The sequence below is a fragment of the Homo sapiens genome, chromosome 2, assembly GCF_000001405.40.
Source record: "Homo sapiens chromosome 2, GRCh38.p14 Primary Assembly".
Taxonomy (NCBI): domain Eukaryota; kingdom Metazoa; phylum Chordata; class Mammalia; order Primates; family Hominidae; genus Homo; species Homo sapiens.
In genome coordinates this window covers 26,561,919-26,581,004 of record NC_000002.12, presented here as the reverse complement: position 1 = coordinate 26,581,004, position 19,086 = coordinate 26,561,919, and the positions used below count along the sequence as shown (strand labels likewise).

Genomic DNA, 19,086 nt, shown 5'->3' with positions numbered 1-19,086 from the left:
TCCTTCCCTCCCTTCATCAAAACCCCCGACCCCCAGCACCTCACAGTTCACAGCTGCACAGAGACGTGCACATAGCAGCCATTCCAGCCGGTGCCCGGCTCCCCACTCCCCTTCTGAGGGAGAAGGCATCTTGGCCCTGATTGTGGGACCAGCAATTAGAGTTTATTTGCTTTGCTATTCAGCCAAGCCCTGGAATGAATTTGGCCACCACAGACAGCCTTTGGGGTCCAGCTCCTCAGGGACTTTGAGACACAGAAGAAGCCCCCCATTGGGTTTTTCTTATTTACACTGTCCTGGGGGAGGTGTCTAATCGCTGGCTACAGAGGAGGGGCTGCTTCAGCCCCAGGTGTACTTGAACCGGGCTGTGTTCCCCTTGCAGTTAGGTCCTGATTCACCCATTGAAGGACAATAAGGGCCTTGTCCCTTAATGGAGGGCCCTTGATCAAATCTAAGAGGTGCTGGAATGTTGGAGAAGGTCCCCGCCTTGGTCTAAGGTCCCCATCCCAGATCCTGTCACTGAGGGGCTCTCACCCCCGTCCCACCCCTGCCCCAGCAGGCAGGAGCCTCCTGGGAGGTAGGAAGCAGCAGCCTTGTGGGAGCAGACCCTCCAGACCCTCAAAGACCACCCCAGGCATGTGGCTTCAGCACCCATGCCCAGCATCCACTTCCGGCCTGGGGCCCCGAAACATAGGGATTCCTGGAAGAGTTGTCTGGTCCTAGGTCATTCCCTCCCATCGTCTTCTAGAAACAGCTTCAGGGGTAGATGCTGCATCCACCCTACCAAGCCAGCCTAGGCAGAATGCAGAAGGTGCCTGCTGCACACAGCTTCTTCTCCCAGGCTCCGCCCTCCACAGACTCCTTCAGGATCCCCAGGTTTATGTCTTCCCCGCCCCTCAGTCTCCACATGGACCACAAGCAGGCTGTGTCGTGGAAAAACCAGGGCTTGGGAGTCAGAAAGACCTGAATTCAAATTCTGGCTGTGTTACTTCCCAACTATGTAAGCTTGGGCAACTTTCTCACCTTCTCTGAGCCTCAATATCTTTATCAGTAAAGTGGGGATAATAACACCTCTTCCCTCACAAGTGATCGTGTGGACAAAACGACGCCAAGTCAGGGCTCTGATGAAAATTCCTTTCCAATCACACCCAGTGCAATTATTCTGGGGTCATTTCCCCTTCATTCTTAGACCGGCGCAATTGGACTTCCTTGCTTATACCAGTGGAATCTGGTGGGAGGTCTCTGTACCTGAGTGACCTGCCACTAAGACTAGGGAACCCTACATTCCTCAACTCCATTTGCCCCACCTTGGGGAGAAGGTAGCTGGACCTGCCAGGTAGCCGGACACCACTTTTCCTTGGCTTGAGTCCCTGGGACAGAGCTTTCCGCAGGCCCTCAGGACACAATGCTGTGTGACCTTCAGGGGGCATTTCCTGCTGTGGCCGAGTGTCCCTGGGATCCAGAGGAGAGATGGGTAGCATGGTCATGGCTAAAGATTTTATTCCAAGCAAGCCAGGCTGGTCACGACCCAGGATCTCAGGCATCAGGCTCTGCTCTGAACTAAAAGTCTCATGCTCTGAACTCAAAGTAGCAGTCTCTCTTTTTCCGCTCCTGTGGAGAGACCCTCTTCCCTGATGGGAAGGTCTGGTAGGTCTTCAGGTTCTCGGGGGCTAGTCTTAAAAGGTGCCACTTCTTCTTTGGGCACAGAGGAGGCCTAGGGGTGAGGATGGGACTGGTGTTATGCAGTGTGCCAGGGAAGGAAGGTGGTGCGTGCCCACCCACAGCCCCACGTGCCCACTTTCCAGCTCAAGCTGACCTGCCGGCTACTCGTCAGTTTAACACCTGATAAGTCCCCCTGGACTTGGGGTGGGAATAACCTGTATTTACATAATGGCACAGTGGTTAAGAGTGAGGACACAGATGTCAGACAGACCTGGGACGGACTCTGGTCCTAACTCCTGCTAGAAGTGTGCATATTTAAGAATGGCCCAGTGGTGGTATCCCCCTCTTAGCTTTGACTTGAGGAATAAATGCAGTAATGCATGTGAAGCTCTGGACAAGGAGTAAACACACAACAAATGTTCTAAGAAATGGTGATGGTGCTGATGGAGGGGATTCCGGGAGGGAGGGGCTTGCCCCAGGCCTGTCACTGACCCTCTTCTCCCAACCACCTGGTTGGCCCTTTGCGTTCGTTGTGAAACTGTCAGCAGCAGTGCAAGTGGCCAGGCAACCTGAAGAAGGAACAGAGTTGAGATGTCCCGCTCTCCCCACAGTGATGGGGATGGGGGGCAGATCCTGGCCAGAGCCATCTCAAGAGGATACCTGTCCCCAGGAGAGTCCCACTATACTCTAGGGATGGACTGGCTCAGAGCCATTCCAAGATTAGAGAGAGCCCCCGAGTCCTAGAGGTGGTGATGGGAGATGCTGCTTCCTTTCCAAGCTCTGCCTCCAACCATCCAGGCCACGCAGCACAAGTTCCCCAGGCGATCAATGAGCCTCACGTTCCCTTTTTTGTAAAATGATCCTGTCTGACTTGCAAAAAGGAACTTTTAGATGCAGTGAAGCCTGTTTCTTTAAAAACCATTAAACTTATGAAAACAGATGCTGTTTTATCAGTAAGGATGATGGTGAATCTTAGGACTCTGAGGCAAGCCGGGAGTGGTTGGCATGGAGCTAAATCCCAAGCTCTATCCACTGACCTCCCAGGCCAGGCACCACCCACCACCCTACCCCACTCCAGGACACCTCGTGTGAGCCAATGATCCCCCTGCCTGCGCTTCAGGAAGGAGAGAGCACAGAAACCACAGTACCCAAGTCATCTTTCAGGGCAGAGTGGGCCTTCCCTGGAGAAAGGAGCTCTCCTAGATAAAAGCAGAGAGGGGCAGGAGGCAAGGAACTTTCCTATTTAGTTAGATGGACAGAAAGTCCTTAGGAGAACATTTTCCAAATGTGAACGGGACCGGGGGAGATTCCTGCTCGGTGTAGTGCCCTCTGTATCCACCAGAGGGCAGCAGCTCCTTACTGCGCTCTGCATCGGCGCCCACGTTAGGACTAGTGTAGCTGCCAGGCTGCCTTTGCAGGCGGGGCATCAGTCCGCAGATTCAGGCCCACTAAGCTTACGGAGCTTCTCCCAAACTCCCAGTGCATCTGGCCGGGAAAGCACTCTTCCTGATTCGCCCATTCAGGCTACCACCATCCCCCCTGAGGCTGCCAATGCCCTGACCCCCTTGCTCTGTAACCATCACTCTCTGCACTGCACGTTTTAGGGCAAGATCCTCAACTCATTTCTCAGTCTGTGTGCTGTGCATGCCTGGCCGAGAGCAGGTGCCCCATGGGTGCGTTTCTTGACTGCGTAGATGAAGGGAGGGCAGGCACTCACAGGACGGTGGGGAGGGGGTACCGTTCCGGCTCCCTCACGGGCATCGCAAAGTAGGGGACTCGAGGCACTGTGCCCGTCTTGTCTTGATAGTACTTCCGATGCTGCTGGACCATCTATGGTTCAATCAAGGAAGAGATGACAGGTTGTTAGTGCACAGGACTGACCACAGGCACCTGCAGTCCATGCCTCGCTGCACCTGGGCAGGGTTGGGGGCCACCTCCCCTAATGCCCCCGGAGGAGTCCCGGAGTTGCTGGGGCCCCAACTCAATTGCCAACCAGCTGGGTGTCCTCACTGAGTCACGACTTCTCATCTGCCTAATGGGAATAACGACACCCACCAGACCAGCTTTGCTATGGAGAGTAAACAAGACAAGGGACAAGCTCAGACTGAGTACAAAAACCCAGCCCCGCAGGCGTACGCACACCTGCTGTGCACACAGGCACCATGTCCGCCTGGCCTGTGTTTCCTCCCCCCTCTCCTTCCCCACTGTACGGGGCATGTTCTGTTGAGCGCCAAGATGGAGGGAGAGGCTTTGGCAGACCCCCTGAGATGGTCGCACATGGCTCAGAGGCTGGTGGCATCAACCTCCTCCTCTCCCGAGGAAGCTGCTTTACTCATACAAGTTCTCTGCCCTGGGGCCAGGACACACCTTGTCCTTGCAATCAGGCTAGAGGGGGAGGCTTGTGAGAGAAGGTGATGGAGAGAGTAAGGTTTTGGGAACACAGGAGAGAATGAACCCTTATCCCTGCCAAGGGCATAAGGGCCAGCTCAGGCCCATGCACCTGTGGTCTCTGGGGATGTGTCTGAACCACATCCAGGGAGGCTTTACCAGCCTGAACAGCAGGACAAGAACAACAGGGGTGTGGGTGGGTCCCCTTCCTCGAGCTCACTCCCTGCAGGGCAGTCTCGCCCAGGCTGGGGCTGAGAGTGACTCAGAGCATGCCCCCAGGGGGCTGCAGGGCAGGGAGGGGTGAGCAGGCTCCAGGACACAGGTGGATAAATGCCGTGGGGCTGGAACTGGGGCTGGGGGCTGTAGTGGGGCCTTTGCTCGTGTGTTATTCATCTGGTGGGTGGATCTTAGACCTTATACTCACCTACAAAATATATGGCATTCCACAGATCCAAGAGACTCCAGGGGGCAGAAGGTAAGGGCAGGAGCCTAGAGACAGGTCCCTAGAGACCCCTAGCTCCACTGGCAGTGGGAGTGAGCAGGAGTTGGGGGTCCTGAAGCCCCGGGAGGTGGGGAGAGATCAGAGGGGCAAAGTCCTGAGCCTCCTTACTCCCTTTAGCCAAGCCCACCATGCTCTCTGCTGGCTCAGGGGCTCTGAGAAAGGAAATCAAGACACTGTGGCAGGTGCGAGGTCTCCCCCTGGCCCCTGGCCATCACTCCCTTCCCGTGGTGGGGGCAGGTGGGCAGGAGGGGAGGCCACAGGGCAGCCCCACACAGCTTACCTGGTAGAAATTCGTAAGCTCTGTGGAGCGATGGCTGTCCAGGTTGAAGCGAGTGTAGCTGGGCTTGTGCAGCCAGCGGTCCCGGGTGCTGGCGCGCTCCATCAGCAGGAGGTTGGGGTTGGTGGAGAAGATGGTGGGGAAATGGCCGCCTTGGCTGAAGGGAGTGTGGCTCTTCTCCATGGCTCTGTTGCGGTGGTCCTGGAAGTACTTGAGGGTGGTGGTGCCGTAGGGAGCGCCAAAGGAGAAGGCCACAGTGGGGACGTGGCCCTGGTACCTGCCGATCACGGTGGGGGTGGTGGAGCCACAGATCAGTGAAGGGCCCCAGGCCTGTTCCAAGAGAGGCCCTTAAAAGTGGAGGATGCTGTGGCTCATGCCTGTAATCCCAGCATGTTGGAAAGCTGAGGAGGGAAGAACACCTGAGCCCAGGAGTTCTGAGACCAGCCTGGGCAACACAGTGAGACTCTGTCTCTACATAAAAACATAATAACAATTAAGAAAAAAAAAGATGAAGGGCAGAGTCAGGGGAGCCCGGTGGCCATCTTTGGCCCTAAGAGGCTTCCCCAGGTGCACTGACCTGCTCAGGTCTTTGGGGATGGCCAAGTCCAAGGGGCTCTGGGCCTCTCCCTCCCCACAGAGGTCTTTGCCTAGATGCTCCTCTCTCCAGACCAGGGGCTTACACAGGGGCCAGAACACCAGATACCCCCCCAGTCAATGCTGTAGGCAAATCACTGTCCCTCCAGGGGCCCGCATTTACTCAGGCGTTGGCCTGAAGATGCAAAGGCCTCCTCTGGCTCCCACATTCTGCAGTTATCTCATGAAAGAGTAGGGGGAGTATGAGAAGTGGGTGGGGGGCCCGGTCAGTGAACAGCGATGGGTGGGAGATGTGGTGTAGCAAGGCGTAGGTTCAGGACGCCGCAGCCTTGCTCCCAGCACAGCAGCCTCCCAACACGCTACTCAGACAGCCTGGAGAGCTGACTAAGGTTCTGGAGCTCTGAGAGCCTACAAGGAGTCTTCCACCCTCTGTGACCAAGGAGGTTCCAGGAGAGGGACAGGAGATGGGCGAGCGGAGGCCTTGGTGACACAGGCACTCTAGAGATCCTTGGTTAAATGAGACTCGCTCCAAGAGCTAAAGACTTGTTTTAACAAAGCAAGGGAGAGTCAACAACACCCAGAGAGTACAGGCGCCAGACTCGCGGCCAATGCGGAAGCTTGCCGAGCAGCACGGCCCTGTGCCCCCATGCATGCCTCACTCTCTGGGGTCTGACTTCTGCTCCATGAGGCCCTTGAAATCGCTCTTCCCAAGGCCGCCTGTGCTCTTGCTGCTGCAGGTCGGTGGACATGCTCTGTCTTGCTGGGCCTTCCAGTAGCACAGGGCATCACCCACCTCTCCCTTCCTGAAACGCTGCTGTTGGTTTGGATGACACCTTTGCTCCTTTCTGTTGCTTTTGCCAACATCTCTGACCACACCTTCATGAGCCTTCTCCTCTGCCCGCCTCTTAAACACTGGTGAACCTCCGGGGTCTGTCTTGGGTGATGGCAGCCATGCCATGGCCGTAGCCACCTCCTGTGTGCAGATGAACCCAGTCCACAGCTCCCGCCTGGGAGTTCTCTCCAAGCCTTAGGCTGCTATGTACAATTGCACACCAGACATATCCCTTGGATGTCTCCCAGGCTTGATCTCCCACCCCCACCTTCCCTGACAGTCTGGTCCCATCTCTGTGAAAATTTCCCCCTAGCCATCCAAGTCAGAAACTGAGGCATCCACCTCACCCACATCTAGTCAGTCACCAAGTCCTGTAGCTCCATCTGCACCACCTGAGCCCAGCCATGTGCCCTTGTACCTGGCCTGTGGTCATAACAACCTCACTGTTCTAACTGCACCAGACCCCTGCCCCTGCAATCCCTTCTCCAGCAGACTGAACTTTAGTCCAGAGTCAGATCCTCGGCGTGGCATTCGAGGCCATCTGTGATCTGACCCGGGCCCAGCTCTCCAGCCCCATCACCTCCTCTACATCCCAGTCCTGCAGAGTCATCGCAGCCATCTAGATGTAACTCCGTCCCCTACTCTCACCTCTTCTGGGGTCTTTCCCTGTGCCTTGGGCCTCGGTCTCCTCACCAACAGAACGGGCGCTGCCTGGAATTAGATAGCAATGCATGGTTTCCTTCTTTTCTGTCTTCAGGAAAAAGGCAAGGAAGCGAAGCCGAGTGACTGCTGACAGGACTGCTCACTGTAGGGAAGCTCACACAAAGTGAGTCCTGCCCTGGCTCCTGGTCCCACCACCCTCAACAGTTGTGCCTTCCTGGGGTCTCACAGCATCTGGCATTGGCTGGGCCAGAGCTGCAATGAGGCTGCAGAGGGGAGAGGCTCCACCCCAGCTGCACAGGCACCCCCTCCAGCCTCACTACTCACATCCCTGGATGCCACAGAGGCGCCGCCCTTGACACCGTGACCCTGGCGGTCCTGACTCTTCTCCACCACCTCAGTGCCCTTCCTCCTTGGCCCCCTGAGTTCCCCGCGGAGGCCAGGTCTCCTCTGGAACTGGGAAGACGGAGGAATTGGTGGGTGCCTTGCTCTCTCTCCTGTGAGGCTGTGTGGTCACCTTGGCCGCTTCAGGAGACAGAGTCTTCCTCCCGGCCTGGGCGCCACTCCTGGGTCTGGAGCTCCTGCTCTGGTTTCACCCAAGGCCTCATTGTCCCATCCGACTCCTCCCTGTCTCTCTCAGCCTCTGCCCTTCTTCCGTCATCTTTAATATCCCCCTCCCTCTCGGCCTCTTCCCCTCTGCCTGTAAGTGGGCATGAGCCGTGGTTCCTAGATTGTACATTTCCACAGTAAAGGCTGGTGCCCGTTTATAGGCAGAGGGGAAGCAGCCAAGAGAGGAGACATTAAAGATGGCGAAGAGGAAGGCGGGATTGCAGATTCCCTCCCTCCTTCTGGAGCTCACTAAGGAATACGCTGCATCTTCTGCCTGATTTCTCAACTCTCACCCTTTCCTTGACCTCCCTCAGTCTGCCTTCAGACCCACCATTGAAACGTGAACCTCTACATCTAAATTAAGGTCATATCAGGTCCTGCTGTTGCCAAATCCAATGTCCTCGGCTCACACTGTCCCGCTGCAACATTCGCACTGATGAAGAAACTTGTTTGGGAAAAAACCTAACCTGTGACGTGTAAGCAAGTTCCTGAGAGCACTTCGTGCTGTAGATGAAGCTTAATCAAGATATAGATTCAATAAATTAAGATGTCAAAGACAAGTGATGGGGAGATGCTGCCTCCTCTATCCTGAGGGCTCCTCCCACGTGGAGGGGAGGTTCCTCCCACACTGGAACCATCGGGCAGCCTGTGGCCCACCTCTCCCCTCCCTCCTTCTCCTCCTCGGAAGCAAGGAAGCCTGCTCCGCCCCTCCAAGCCTTAGGTGTTAGATGGACAGGCTCTGCCCGTGGGGAGGAGGCCGGCCCCAGCGCCTGTCTCATTCTGAGGCTGTGTTCACCCCATTCTCTAACAGCCACATTCCTCTTTCACCTTCTTTCTCAAGTGGTTCAGAATGTAGGGAATGGAAGAGATGCTCATCTCCAGGTGCTGCCAACCCCAGCAAAAAGATGAAGTGATAGAATGAAAGGCAAAGGAAGATACCCACAGCATTCCGCAGGGAAAAGAGCATAACCCAAGAATACCACACCAGCCAGGCGGTCACAGGGGTACAAAGCCACCCTTTCCTAGCATGAAAGGGCTCAGCAACTAAAGCACCCACAAGCTCTTCTTGAAAGTCATGTTCAGCGACAAAATCCTGCCAATCAAGAGATGATTCAAGAGAAAAAAAAAAAAAAACCAACTCAGTAATGTAGAGCCTCTGTTAGAATGAGTGGTGGTGAGCTTCAAATCTATTGAAGTGCAGAACCAGGAATAGCAACTAGGTGAATGCTAGTTACAGAATGGAATGTAAATGTTATAAAACCTGTCAAAGTAAAACTAATTTAAGCAACCAAAATTGGGGGGTGGGTGGAGGGGAGATGGGGGTGCACTTACTAAGAATCTCTTTAAATCAGAGTCAACCCATGGCATCTAAAATTGAAACACATCGTTAGAAAAAAGTACAACATAATGGCTTTAGTCCTTTGATGGTTTTTATCCTCTCTCTCTCTCCTATAGTGGGATCTTTTTGTACTAATATCTCTTGTGATGAATTAACACTTATCTCAAATCTACTTATTCTTCCATTTTACTTCAGTTTCTTTCTCTTCAGTTAAGTTCTATTAAGATTCAATTTCATGCTTTTCATTTTAAAATAGCAAATATGGTATGATTATATTTTTATAAAGTTGCTTTTGTCTGTCTTTATATCCATCCATCCATCCGTCCATTCACTCCTCCATCTAGTCCTTTATCTGAATATACACATAAGGTCTACAGCCATACCACCCTGAGCGCGCCCGATCTCGTCTGAATATACACATAAAGAGAAACTCTGAATAAAATGCACCAAACGTTGACCCTGGATAATTCAGGGTGTTTGGATTTCGGGTGATTTGTGGCTTTCTTCTTTGTACACACATCATTTTTTAAAAACAGAGTCAGATGGCATGAAACATTAATTTATCAGGAACCTGCTGTGTGCTGGCACCATACTAAGTGCTGGGAACACAAAGACCCACGGTGCTCAGCCTGCCTTCCCCAAGCCCAATCCTCACTCGGTGTTTACTGAGTCATGGGGTGCATGTGTCAGGCGCCATGCTGAGCTGGCCTGGGTACAACCAGCTCCAACCCAAGTGGGACCATGGTCAAGGTTCTAGTGCTATCAACCACAAGGAGGGAAGGCCATTCCCAGGGTGGGTACTGGAGGAGCTCCATGACAAGTGTCCACTGGGGTGAGGCTTTGAGGAAAGTCCCAGGGCAGGGGGAGCCCCTGGGTCTGGCTCCTTCCCCAGGCGATGGTGTTGCCCCAGGGTCCTCTTCTCTTTTCAGGGACCCATTCCTTCTGGGAGATCTCATCTGTGTTAGACTTCCAACATGTCCCGTATGTCAATGACAGCCTCTCTACCTCTGGGTCTCCAGCCTCCACCATTCTGGCAATGGATCCACATGCCTGGCAATGGATCCACACAAGGCTGGGCCACCACGCCACAGACTCAGCGCCACTGAAACTGCTCTTCCTCCAGTATATCCCTGCCCCCTCCAACCTCCACCTAAGCCAGAAACTGGGACTTGATGGCTTCTCCATCACCCTCCATCACCCTCCACATCTGACCTCTCCCTAAGTCCTGCTTAGGCCCCTCCTTAGCCACTGGCCTGTGGCCCTCCTCCATCCCACTGCTGCGAGCCTCCCTCATTGCTTGCCTGGACAATCTCCAATCTCCTCCCTGGTCTAAATGGAGCATCACCCCCTCCAGCCTGCTGTCCATACAGCACCAGAGCCATCCCTCCTCTCGCCCATCACTGCACTGTAGGTGCCCTGGGCCCCAGCAGCGTTACTCCCAGTCTCTGGGGCCCCACTTGCTCTTCAGGCCTCTGGGCCTTTGCATGGAATTCCTTTCCCTGGGATGCATTTTCCCTGTTGCCCATCTGGGGATCTGCCACCCACTCCTAAGGATCCAGTGCCCTCTGCTACCTCCCCTGACTGCACACCCTGTACCTAGCACCTGCCTCACTGAGAGGACTATCATCCTCAAGTCCACACTCAGACCCGAATGAACTTGTCTCTTCTTCTGCTAATCCGTGTTCTCCTTTATCCTTGGCACCTGGCACATGACAAGTGCTCAACAAATGTTCACTGGAGGAGGCAGAATTCCAGAAACTCTGGGGGCACCATGCCCTGGAGTCCTGATTTAAGAGGAGCGTGGCTCTGATCAGCAGAGCACATGCTGGCATGAAGCATCCCGCCTACAGGGGCGATGGGCTCCTCCGAAGAAAGGAGCCATAGAAAAATGATGTGTTCTCGTGATTCTTCTCTCCGCCCCCAAGCTCTCTGCCATACTCCTCCTCTGCTCCCTGCTTCTCCACCTTCTCTGAATGCCACGATATTTGCATCCCAATAGAATAGAAGCCCTCTCCTCCGCAATCCTCCTGAGTTCTGCCTGGCTTCTGTTCAGGGCTTACTGCTCAGGCAGGTGTGTGTGCACTCACACACTTGCACACATGGGCAGGTTCACATTCTTTAGCACTCAGTGGGCGCATCTTGGCAAGCTAGGTCTGTGTCCCTTATATGCACCTGCATTTGTGTTCCTTTGAGCATGCCCTGAGCTCCACGGTGGAGCCTTCTGCAGTCCTGTTTGTGTTGATACGTGGCAGGCCAAGGTAGGGAGGAACAGAGGGGAATGGCAAGTTTTATAACAGGGCATCGAGTGGCAGCATTTGCTGTGTTGGCTGGTGCCACCACACCTCCCCTTCAACCCCTTCATCTGCTCCCATCCACCACCCTGTCCCTCCATCCATCTGTACACCACATAAGCCAGGAGACTGTGCCAAGCCGGACCCCTGGGCAATGGTCACATGTGGATTCTAAGGCCCACTGTGGGTTACTGTGTGAAAAGGAGCAGTCCCTTCCCTGACTCTTAATAGCACTGCTTGGCCCCACAGCCAACATTAAAACTAATTACCATGAGCCATCAGAGATCCCATGATCAACCTTATTAACTGATTAACCAGCGACTATTCGGCATGTCCACATTCCACAATGCATCCTCTCCTCCATAACGCCTCCTACTGAGGACAGTTCTGATCACATTCCTCCCCAGGGCAAAACCCTTCAAGGGCTCCCTATTGCCTGTGACACCAAGCACAAGCGGGGCCAGGTGTCAGTCCCTCCGCGCCAGGGCCTCTGTGAGAATGCTTTCCAGCCGCATCATCCACTGTCATCACAGTTTTCCCATTCCAGCTGAAGAGGCTATTTGCTGCTTTGAAAGAACATCCTTCTGGCAACTCCACACCATTTTTTTTGTCTCAAGCCACATCCTCCATCCAGAAGGCTCTGCTCTCCGCACTTCCCACATTGTGATCTTACCCATCCTTTGAGGCCCATCTTGAATGCCCTCTTTCCCATGGAGCCTCCATGACCCAGCCCACAGACCCTGCCTGCCCGCTCCATGGAACTGTCTTTGCCCTTTGCACCTCTCCTATGTCTCAGTTCATATTGTTTTTCTTTTTCTTTTCTTTTTTTTTTTTTTTGAGACTGAGTCTCACTCTGTCACCCAGGCTGGAGTGCAATGGCATGGTCCTCACTGCAACCTCCATCTCCCGGGTTCAAGCGATTCTCCTGCCTCAGCCTCCCAAGTAGCTGGGATTACAGGTGCCCGCCACTATGCCCAGCTAATTTTTGTACATTTAGTAGAGACGGGGTTTTGCCATATTGGCCAGACTGGTCTCAAACTCCTGACCTCAGGTAATCCACCTGCCCCGGCCTCCCAAAGTGCAGGTGTGAGCCACCGCACCTGGCCTCAGTTCACATTCTTTCATATCACAATAATCTGAGCCACTGGAATATTCTTTCTTATTAATCATAGGCTCTCTGGGGAAGTAGGGTTCTGTTGTACTCATACTGGCATGCTTGGCATTCTCTGCACCCAGTGGATGTTCTGTGAATATCTGTTGAATGGAATTGACAAATGGTGGCACATTTTAAAGGGTTGCCCTTTCTTCTGGAGAGAAGGAGGATCCCTGTTGCAAAGCCCAAGTCTCCAGGAGCCCCTGATCACCTGTTCTTAGGGGGCTCCACAGTTCCTCAAGGTAGAGAGGCACCAGTTACCTATGAAATGTACTTGAACAGCTCAGAGGTGAATTCCAGGGAAGAGATAGGGGCTGGCCTTGGGGCAGAGGTCCTGGGAAAGGGGTGGGGAATGACGTGGCTTATGAATCCTCCAGAAGAGAAGATACTGCAGCAGAGAAAGGCAGGTGAGTGGCCAGAGGCTCCCTAAGTGTGTGAGGCCCTCTGAGACCAGGCTGCCTCCTGGGGGGATAGAGAAGGAAGCTCCCTGTGGGGACAGGGCCAAGAGGGAGAAGAATTGAGGGACTGTAGAATTTACTTTCTGCTTCTGTATTTTGGGCTTGAATCTGGGACAATGATCTTTTCCCTCAGCTGGAGATGAGAACCGAACAACGAAAGTAGTGCCTGCTGTGCCTTCAGTCAGACCTCTCAGCCTGGGGGCGGGGGTGTGCCAAGGAGAATGGCACAGGTAGAAGGCTTCACACGAGGAGGTCCCTTCTTTCAAATGCTTGAAAACAGGACCACACCTGCCAGTTTCTCAACAGTGGTCTGCAATGCAAGGGGCCATAGAAATTCTCAGACAAGCATTCCTGTCCCTGGTTACATCTTAGAATTGCCTGGGAGGATTAGAAACTCCTGCAGCCCTGGCCCAGCCCAACCAATGACATCAGAATCTCTAGATGGGGCCCGAACACAGGTCATAGTTAAAGCTCCCCAGGAGATTCTAATACTAACGAATGGGCACAAAGGGTCCCCTACCTCCTCCTGGGCAGATGGCCTTTGTTTCATACCCCAAGATGCACTGGCCTGTTTGGAGGGCTGCACCTCGGGTGCCAGGGCCTGGGTTGAAGTGGAAGGGGCTTTGGAAATGCAAATGCTTTGGAACCCTCCCTTCCCAAGCCTGGCCTGACCTCTCTCCCTGAAGGGTAAAGCCCCAGGCCCCAGGAAGCTGGCAGAGTGTATTACTCTGTTCCCACGCTGCTAAGAAGAACTGCCCCAAACTGGGTAATTTATAAAGGAAAGAGGTTTAATTGACTAATAGTTCTGCAGGGTTGGGGAAGTCTCAGGAAACTTACAGTGATGGCAGAAAGTGAAGCAAACATGTCCTTGTTCTCATGGCGGCAGGAGAGAAAAATGGGTGCCCAACAAATGGGGAGCCCCTTATAAAACCATCTGATCTTGTGAGAACTAACTCTCATGAGAACAGGATGGGGGAACTGCCCCCATGATTCAATTATCTCCACCTGGTCCCTCTTGTGACATGTGGGGATTATGGAAACTACAATTCAAGATGAGATTTGGGTGGGGACACAGCCAAACCATATCACAGGGGCAGGCAGTAGTGGGCTACAGGCAGTGCCTACTGGCTTCAAAGGAATCAACTTCTAAATTTTCAGGAAATTGTTAAGTCTATTATTAAACAAGCCAGTATTCAATATCAAATTATATTCCATTACAATTAAATATGTTATATTAGGCCAGGCATGTTGGCTTCTATAATCCCAGCACTTTGGGAGGCTGAGGCAGGCAAATGGCTTGAGCCCAAGAGTTCAAGACCAGCCTGGGCAGCCCTGTCTCTACAAAAAATATAAAAATTAGCCAGGTATGGTGGTGCACACCTGTGGTCCCAGCTACTCAGGGGGCTGAGGTGGGAGGATCACTTGAGCCCAGGAGGTTAAGGCTATAGTGAGCTGTGATCGTGCCACTGCACTCAAGCCTGGGTGACAGAGTAAGACTCTGTCTCAAAGGAAAGAAAAACACACTAAAACCAAAGGAGACAGTCAAAACTCCTCACTTCCTAATTATTTTGCCACGTTACTATCGTCTGTGTTTGAGGTTGTCATGTCCACTCTATCTGTGGGGTGGAAATGTTATATAATGGTGCACAGCTGTGCATCCATCCCTCCCCAACTCTGCAATTAAGGACACTATGTTGATAGTTTGAAATCAGCTTTGGTGAGAGTATTTATACCACAGATACGGATGAATGTTACAAATCAAAGCATTTTTGCTCCAGAGAACTGGTTGTTAAACATTTGTCAGTACACCACCGTGTGTGTGTTTGCTGTACAGGGATTCTGGGGATGGGGACACAGCCACCTTTGTGGGACCACTCTCCTGACAATGGAGTGGAACGCACTGATTTTAGGACCAGAGGCCCCTGAAGTCTCCGAGGTCCAGCTCAGTGACAGATGTGGGCACAACTGCCACCCCAGGCAGACAGAGAGAGGGGCTGGGAGGCAAATCCTCCTGCCCTCACTCTTGGTGAGAGCCGCTGGGCAGGAGCTGTGGGCATGGGGCGCAGTGGCAGTCTGGGCATGAATGAATGCATGGCGCAGGCCAAGTGTCTGCACTGAGAGCCGGTGAGGCATGGCCAGAAACAGAGAATGAGGAGTGGATGCCACCCAGATCCGACTTGCAAGCAGGAAGCTTGGATCCTCACTGAGGCCAATCTCATCCCTTCAAACCCCTTCAAATCTCAGGGGCTCTGACCCAAGAGCTCCTGCCCACTGCAGGAATAGCACCCAGGCCAGGCGTAGGCAGGCACTGCCTGTGGCAAGGTGCCTAGGAGCTGTGTCCCCAGGAACAGCATGGAACCAAATGGAGCACCCTGGCCGGCGAGGCTGAAGACCAGCTTTGTTATTATTTCATGTTCCCCGGGGTTCCTAGAACCAGATCTTGAACACAGTAGAGATCTAACTAATGATAACAGCTAACAATGATCAAGTGCCAGGCTTTACGCATGTTAACTAACTGAAACCTCTTTAACCTGCACACCGTGATCATCCCCATTGAACAGATAAGGTAGGTGAGGCAGGGGGGATAAGTAACCTGCCCAGGGTAAGGAAGTCATGGAGCCAGGATTCGTACCAGGCAGGCTTGCTCCAGAGTCCATCTCTTACTGTCGACCCCATTCCCTCCCTGCTAAATGAGGGAGGCAGTGTGAAACACCACATGACGGTTGGGGAGATATTGGGGTGAGTTGGGGCGTTGAAGTCACAAAGCCGAGGCTCGGCAACTTGCTGAATGACTTTGGGCAAGCTGCTCATTCCTCATCTGGGTTATTGTGATGATTTTAAAAAAGAAAAAAGGCCAGGCGTGGTGGCTCATGCCTGTAATCCCAGCACTTTGGGAGGCCAAGGCGGGTTGATCATCTGAGGTCAGGAGTTCGAGACCAGCCTGGCCAACATGGCAAAACCCCGCCTGTACTAAAAATACAAAAATTAGCCGGCTGTGGTGGCGCGTGCCTGTAATCCCAGCTACTCAGGAGGCTGAGGTAGGGAGAATTGCTTGAACCCAGGAGGCAGAGGTTGCTGTGAGCCGAGATTGCGCCATTGCACTCCAGCCTGGGCAACAGAGCAAGACTCCATTAAAAAAAGAAGAAGGGGTAGGGGAAGGGGAAGGGGAAGGGGAAGGGGAAGAAGAAGGAGAAGGAGAAGGAGAAGGAGAAGAAGAAGAAGAAGAAAATGTTGTGAAGGGCCCAGCACAGTGCCTGGTACATAGTTGGAGCTCAGACTTAGGAGATCATGGTGTTATTGCCAGGCATTAGGGACCTGGCTCCAGCCCAGCACTTCAATCACCAGCGTGGGGCTCAGGCAAGTCCCCCCACACCTCAGTGACCACATCTGGAACAGGAGGGGACAGGGCTACATGATCTCTGAGGTCCACACCAGCATGAATATTCTCGCCTCTATGAATAAAGCAGGTAAGAGCAGGGTGATGTGAGTGTCAGAAGAGACTGGCTGTGCTTTAAAATCCTGTGATTAGTGTTTGAACAGACACACAAAAATAAGAATTATCCAAGTGTGGTCGGGAATCTTGGGTTCTTTCATTAAGTTAACAGAATTGCCAACGAGGTAGCATTTGGAAACACAAAATGACTCAATTCATCCCTTGCTGATGGGAATCTTTAAGGGGAACACAACCCTTCCAGAAAGATCTAGATGAGAAAGCAGCAGATACGGGCTCAGCTGCTCAAACTAGCCCAGTCCAGGCTTGAAGCCTCATTCATGATCCTCTTATTGCCATTTCTAAATCAATCACAGGACAGGGCGCTCAAGGGAACTGCTGAGAAGTGGCAGGAATAGGAAAGCACCCTGGGGACTGCTTCTGAAACCTGCAGCTCCCACCCCTGCCAAACAGAGTTGGGGAACTGTGGGGCAGGGTTTGCAGGAGCACCAGGCCTTGCCCCTCAGATGGGAAATGTCCAGGAGTCAGACAATAGAAAATTTTCCAACTGGAGACTGTGGGAGGCTTAAGAAAAAAAGTCAATGTATAAAATCAAATCTCATGATGAACACCCAGAATGTGGTGTCAGCACCACAATCCAAGGCTGCAAAAATGGATTTGAACTAAACCTTATGTGTTTACACCACACTAGGGCAGCCCCTCACTTGTTTGTCTTTGTCTTCCCAGCCTCCTAACATAACACCTGGCATGTCCCAAGCACTGACCCACATGAATGTCTTAAATAAAGGAAAACGGGCAAATCCTAAGTCACCTGGCTTGGCTTCGGGAAACTACCATGACCTGGTAAATCAGCTTTGTCTGATGGGAACCCTGGTAGCTTTTGAGCTCCCTCCAAGGCCCAGAGAGAGGTCGCATCCACAAATGGGCTAGGTTAAAACTACAGCACCAGCCCCTGGTTGCTACTTTCTCATGCAGCCTCCAGAAATGATTTGAATGTCACAGCACCTCTGTGTCTAGCTTATTCTGCTTCAAAACAATCTCAACTTCATACCAAATACACTTTTCTTCATGTTGCCATCTGTTCCGATTGCAGGGGAGAGCATGCGGGCTTTTTCACCCATTTGGAGACTCTGCCTGCAGAATCCTCAAGACATTCATTTCATTCATTCGTTCACTCTTTTTTTCAGACAAGGGTTCTTAGGATCATTCATTCATTCTATACAGATTTGCTGATACTGTACAGGTTGCCTCTCAGAATCCAGTGCCTGTTCTCAGTACCTATGCTGACTGGTAGGAGGGATAAAGACAGCCTTACACCCTGGGAGAGGCGGTCCAGAGTAGAAACATCAGACACTGTAGGAGAAAGAGCCAAAGAACAGGAGGCAACAGCCAGACTTGCATGTTAGATGGTTGGAGTCTGAAAATATCCAGAGTAAAGAAAGGTAGGTGTAACCTAGTATTTGAAAGTGCTAAACAGCAAGCCAGCGCTCAGGGCAAGTGGCCAGGAAGCTTTCCAAGAAAAACTTCTGGGAGGATAAAGGGAGGTCTGTGAAAGGACCGACCGCAAAGTCGGGCGGGTACTGCACACATGACCCATTAACTACGGCTCTTCCGGCCTTGCCAGGTTCTTCGAGCGGGCACCCACCCGGTATCCTTCCCTCCTTCAACCAACAAGTACTGACCTTGCCCGAATGCTGGGTGCTGGCCCTGTGCGCCGGACGGAAGGGCCTGATTTTCTCGCATTTTCTCTAAGCGCTGGAGGCTGCCCGCCTGGGGCGTCTCCAAGCACTAAACCCCACGTGGCTCCATCTCCTCCCCCTTCCCCGGCTACATCCATGCGAGGTCCCTTATGCCCTGCTGGCTGTGCCCCACTTGCCAGGGAGCGCCTTCCTGTGAAGGGGAATCTGGGGAGGCCCCCGCCCGTGCCTGCCCACTTCCTACTCTGAAACCACAAACCTCTAGGAAGGCCCCTCGCCCCGTCGGGTGGAAAATTGGCTCCTCGGGGTTCCTTCAACCCCAAAGTCCGGGGGCAGGGGGCTGAATTTCGATCACCGAGGAGGGCGCTAGTGGAAGGGGGAGGGGAGGAGGCGCTCCCTCGGCCTTACCCGGGCATGAGTCCAGGGGGCACGTAGGCGGCATTGAACTCGGTCAGTAGGGTGCCCGCGCTGCGGGAGGCCATGGTGGGTGCGCGAGTACAGCGAGCCTGGCGCTCCGCTCCGCCCCACGGTAAACAGCGGCGGGTCACCTGGCAACGGCCACGGCGGCGAGCCTGGCAACGCCAGCTGGCCCCGCGGTCCTCGCGTTCCGAGACACTGCGCCCCCCTGGCGGCCACCTCCCGGAGCAGCCCCATAGGGCGCGCCCAGAAGGCGCCTCCCATTTCCGCGAGCTCTGCTGGGTGACCCCTGTCACTTGCCCCGGCGCGTCGGGGCTCTCTGCCTTGCTGCCTGCGGGATGTGCAGAGGCTCAGATGCGGGAGGGAGGCAGAACATCGCTGGAGAGGCCTGGCGGGATCCGTCTTGCGGTGACCCGGCTTGGAACGCGACGCTACCACAAAGGACAGGCCAGGTCCTGACTTTGGAGGTCACGCACGAAGCAGCTGCCCCACCGTGGCTCAGGCCCAGAAACCTGAGTGGCCTTAGGGTCCCCAGGAGCTATGTCTCTCCAAGGCTTCCCCTGCACCCCAGCTCCATGGGAGTTCCAGGAAGGGGCTCTGTAGTGGGCCGCGCTGGGCGAGGTTGCCTAGGACGCTGTGTGTAATTGTGTGTGTGCGTGCGTGCGTGCATGTGTGCGTGTGTGTGTGCGCGCCTTGCGAAGAGGAGCATTTTTCATTTTTCTTCTTAATCTCTAGCTGATGGCTTCCTTCTCACCTCAT

At 53.6% G+C, this 19,086-nt stretch overlaps 1 protein-coding gene across 12 annotated transcripts, besides 4 other annotated features; it reads right to left on the bottom strand.

Annotated features, from left to right (window-relative positions):
• Nucleotides 1-1,480: 1,480 nt before the first annotated feature.
• On the bottom strand, nucleotides 1,481-18,418 carry CIMIP2C (ciliary microtubule inner protein 2C). 12 transcript variants are annotated; one of them, XM_017003962.2, is made up of 7 exons: nucleotides 18,319-18,418; nucleotides 8,854-8,889; nucleotides 6,901-6,963; nucleotides 4,830-5,103; nucleotides 3,377-3,489; nucleotides 2,152-2,228; nucleotides 1,481-1,711 (listed from the first exon to the last, which is right to left on the bottom strand). In XM_017003962.2, the coding sequence occupies exons 2-7, from the start codon at nucleotides 8,887-8,889 to the stop codon at nucleotides 1,567-1,569; spliced, it is 708 nt and encodes a 235-aa protein (XP_016859451.1). In that variant the 5' UTR covers nucleotides 18,319-18,418; the 3' UTR covers nucleotides 1,481-1,566. The 12 variants fall into 12 exon arrangements, 11 of the variants coding, with proteins under 11 accessions (XP_016859451.1, XP_016859455.1, XP_016859454.1 ...); XM_017003966.2 differs by lacking the exon at nucleotides 8,854-8,889 and adding an exon at nucleotides 6,214-6,393; XM_017003965.2 differs by lacking the exon at nucleotides 2,152-2,228.
• Nucleotides 4,173-4,747: an enhancer, noted in NCBI's record as "H3K4me1 hESC enhancer chr2:26799126-26799700 (GRCh37/hg19 assembly coordinates)". NCBI's record gives its function as "activates a minimal SCP1, AML or CMV promoter by ChIP-STARR-seq in naive H9 embryonic stem cells {active_cell/tissue: H9 hESC(naive)}" and the evidence as "EXISTENCE:reporter gene assay evidence [ECO:0000049][PMID:30033119]".
• Nucleotides 14,392-14,897: an enhancer, noted in NCBI's record as "H3K4me1 hESC enhancer chr2:26788976-26789481 (GRCh37/hg19 assembly coordinates)". NCBI's record gives its function as "activates a minimal SCP1, AML or CMV promoter by ChIP-STARR-seq in naive H9 embryonic stem cells {active_cell/tissue: H9 hESC(naive)}" and the evidence as "EXISTENCE:reporter gene assay evidence [ECO:0000049][PMID:30033119]".
• Nucleotides 18,144-18,644: an enhancer, noted in NCBI's record as "H3K4me1 hESC enhancer chr2:26785229-26785729 (GRCh37/hg19 assembly coordinates)". NCBI's record gives its function as "activates a minimal SCP1, AML or CMV promoter by ChIP-STARR-seq in primed H9 embryonic stem cells {active_cell/tissue: H9 hESC(primed)}" and the evidence as "EXISTENCE:reporter gene assay evidence [ECO:0000049][PMID:30033119]".
• Nucleotides 18,407-18,546: a silencer, noted in NCBI's record as "silent region_11275". NCBI's record gives its function as "represses an Ori minimal core promoter by ATAC-STARR-seq in GM12878 lymphoblastoid cells {active_cell/tissue: GM12878}" and the evidence as "EXISTENCE:reporter gene assay evidence [ECO:0000049][PMID:35858748]".

Coding starts and splice junctions, on each gene's coding strand:
- CIMIP2C (XM_017003962.2), bottom strand. CDS start 8,889: ATGCCATGGGTTGACTCTGATTTAAAGAGATTCTTA. Junction 5,104..6,900: donor AGGGAAAGACCCCAGAAGAG/GTGAGAGTAGGG, acceptor CGTGATCGGCAG/GTACCAGGGCCACGTCCCCA. Junction 2,229..3,376: donor TACCCCCTCCCCACCGTCCT/GTGAGTGCCTGC, acceptor TTCCTTCTTCAG/GTTGCCTGGCCACTTGCACT.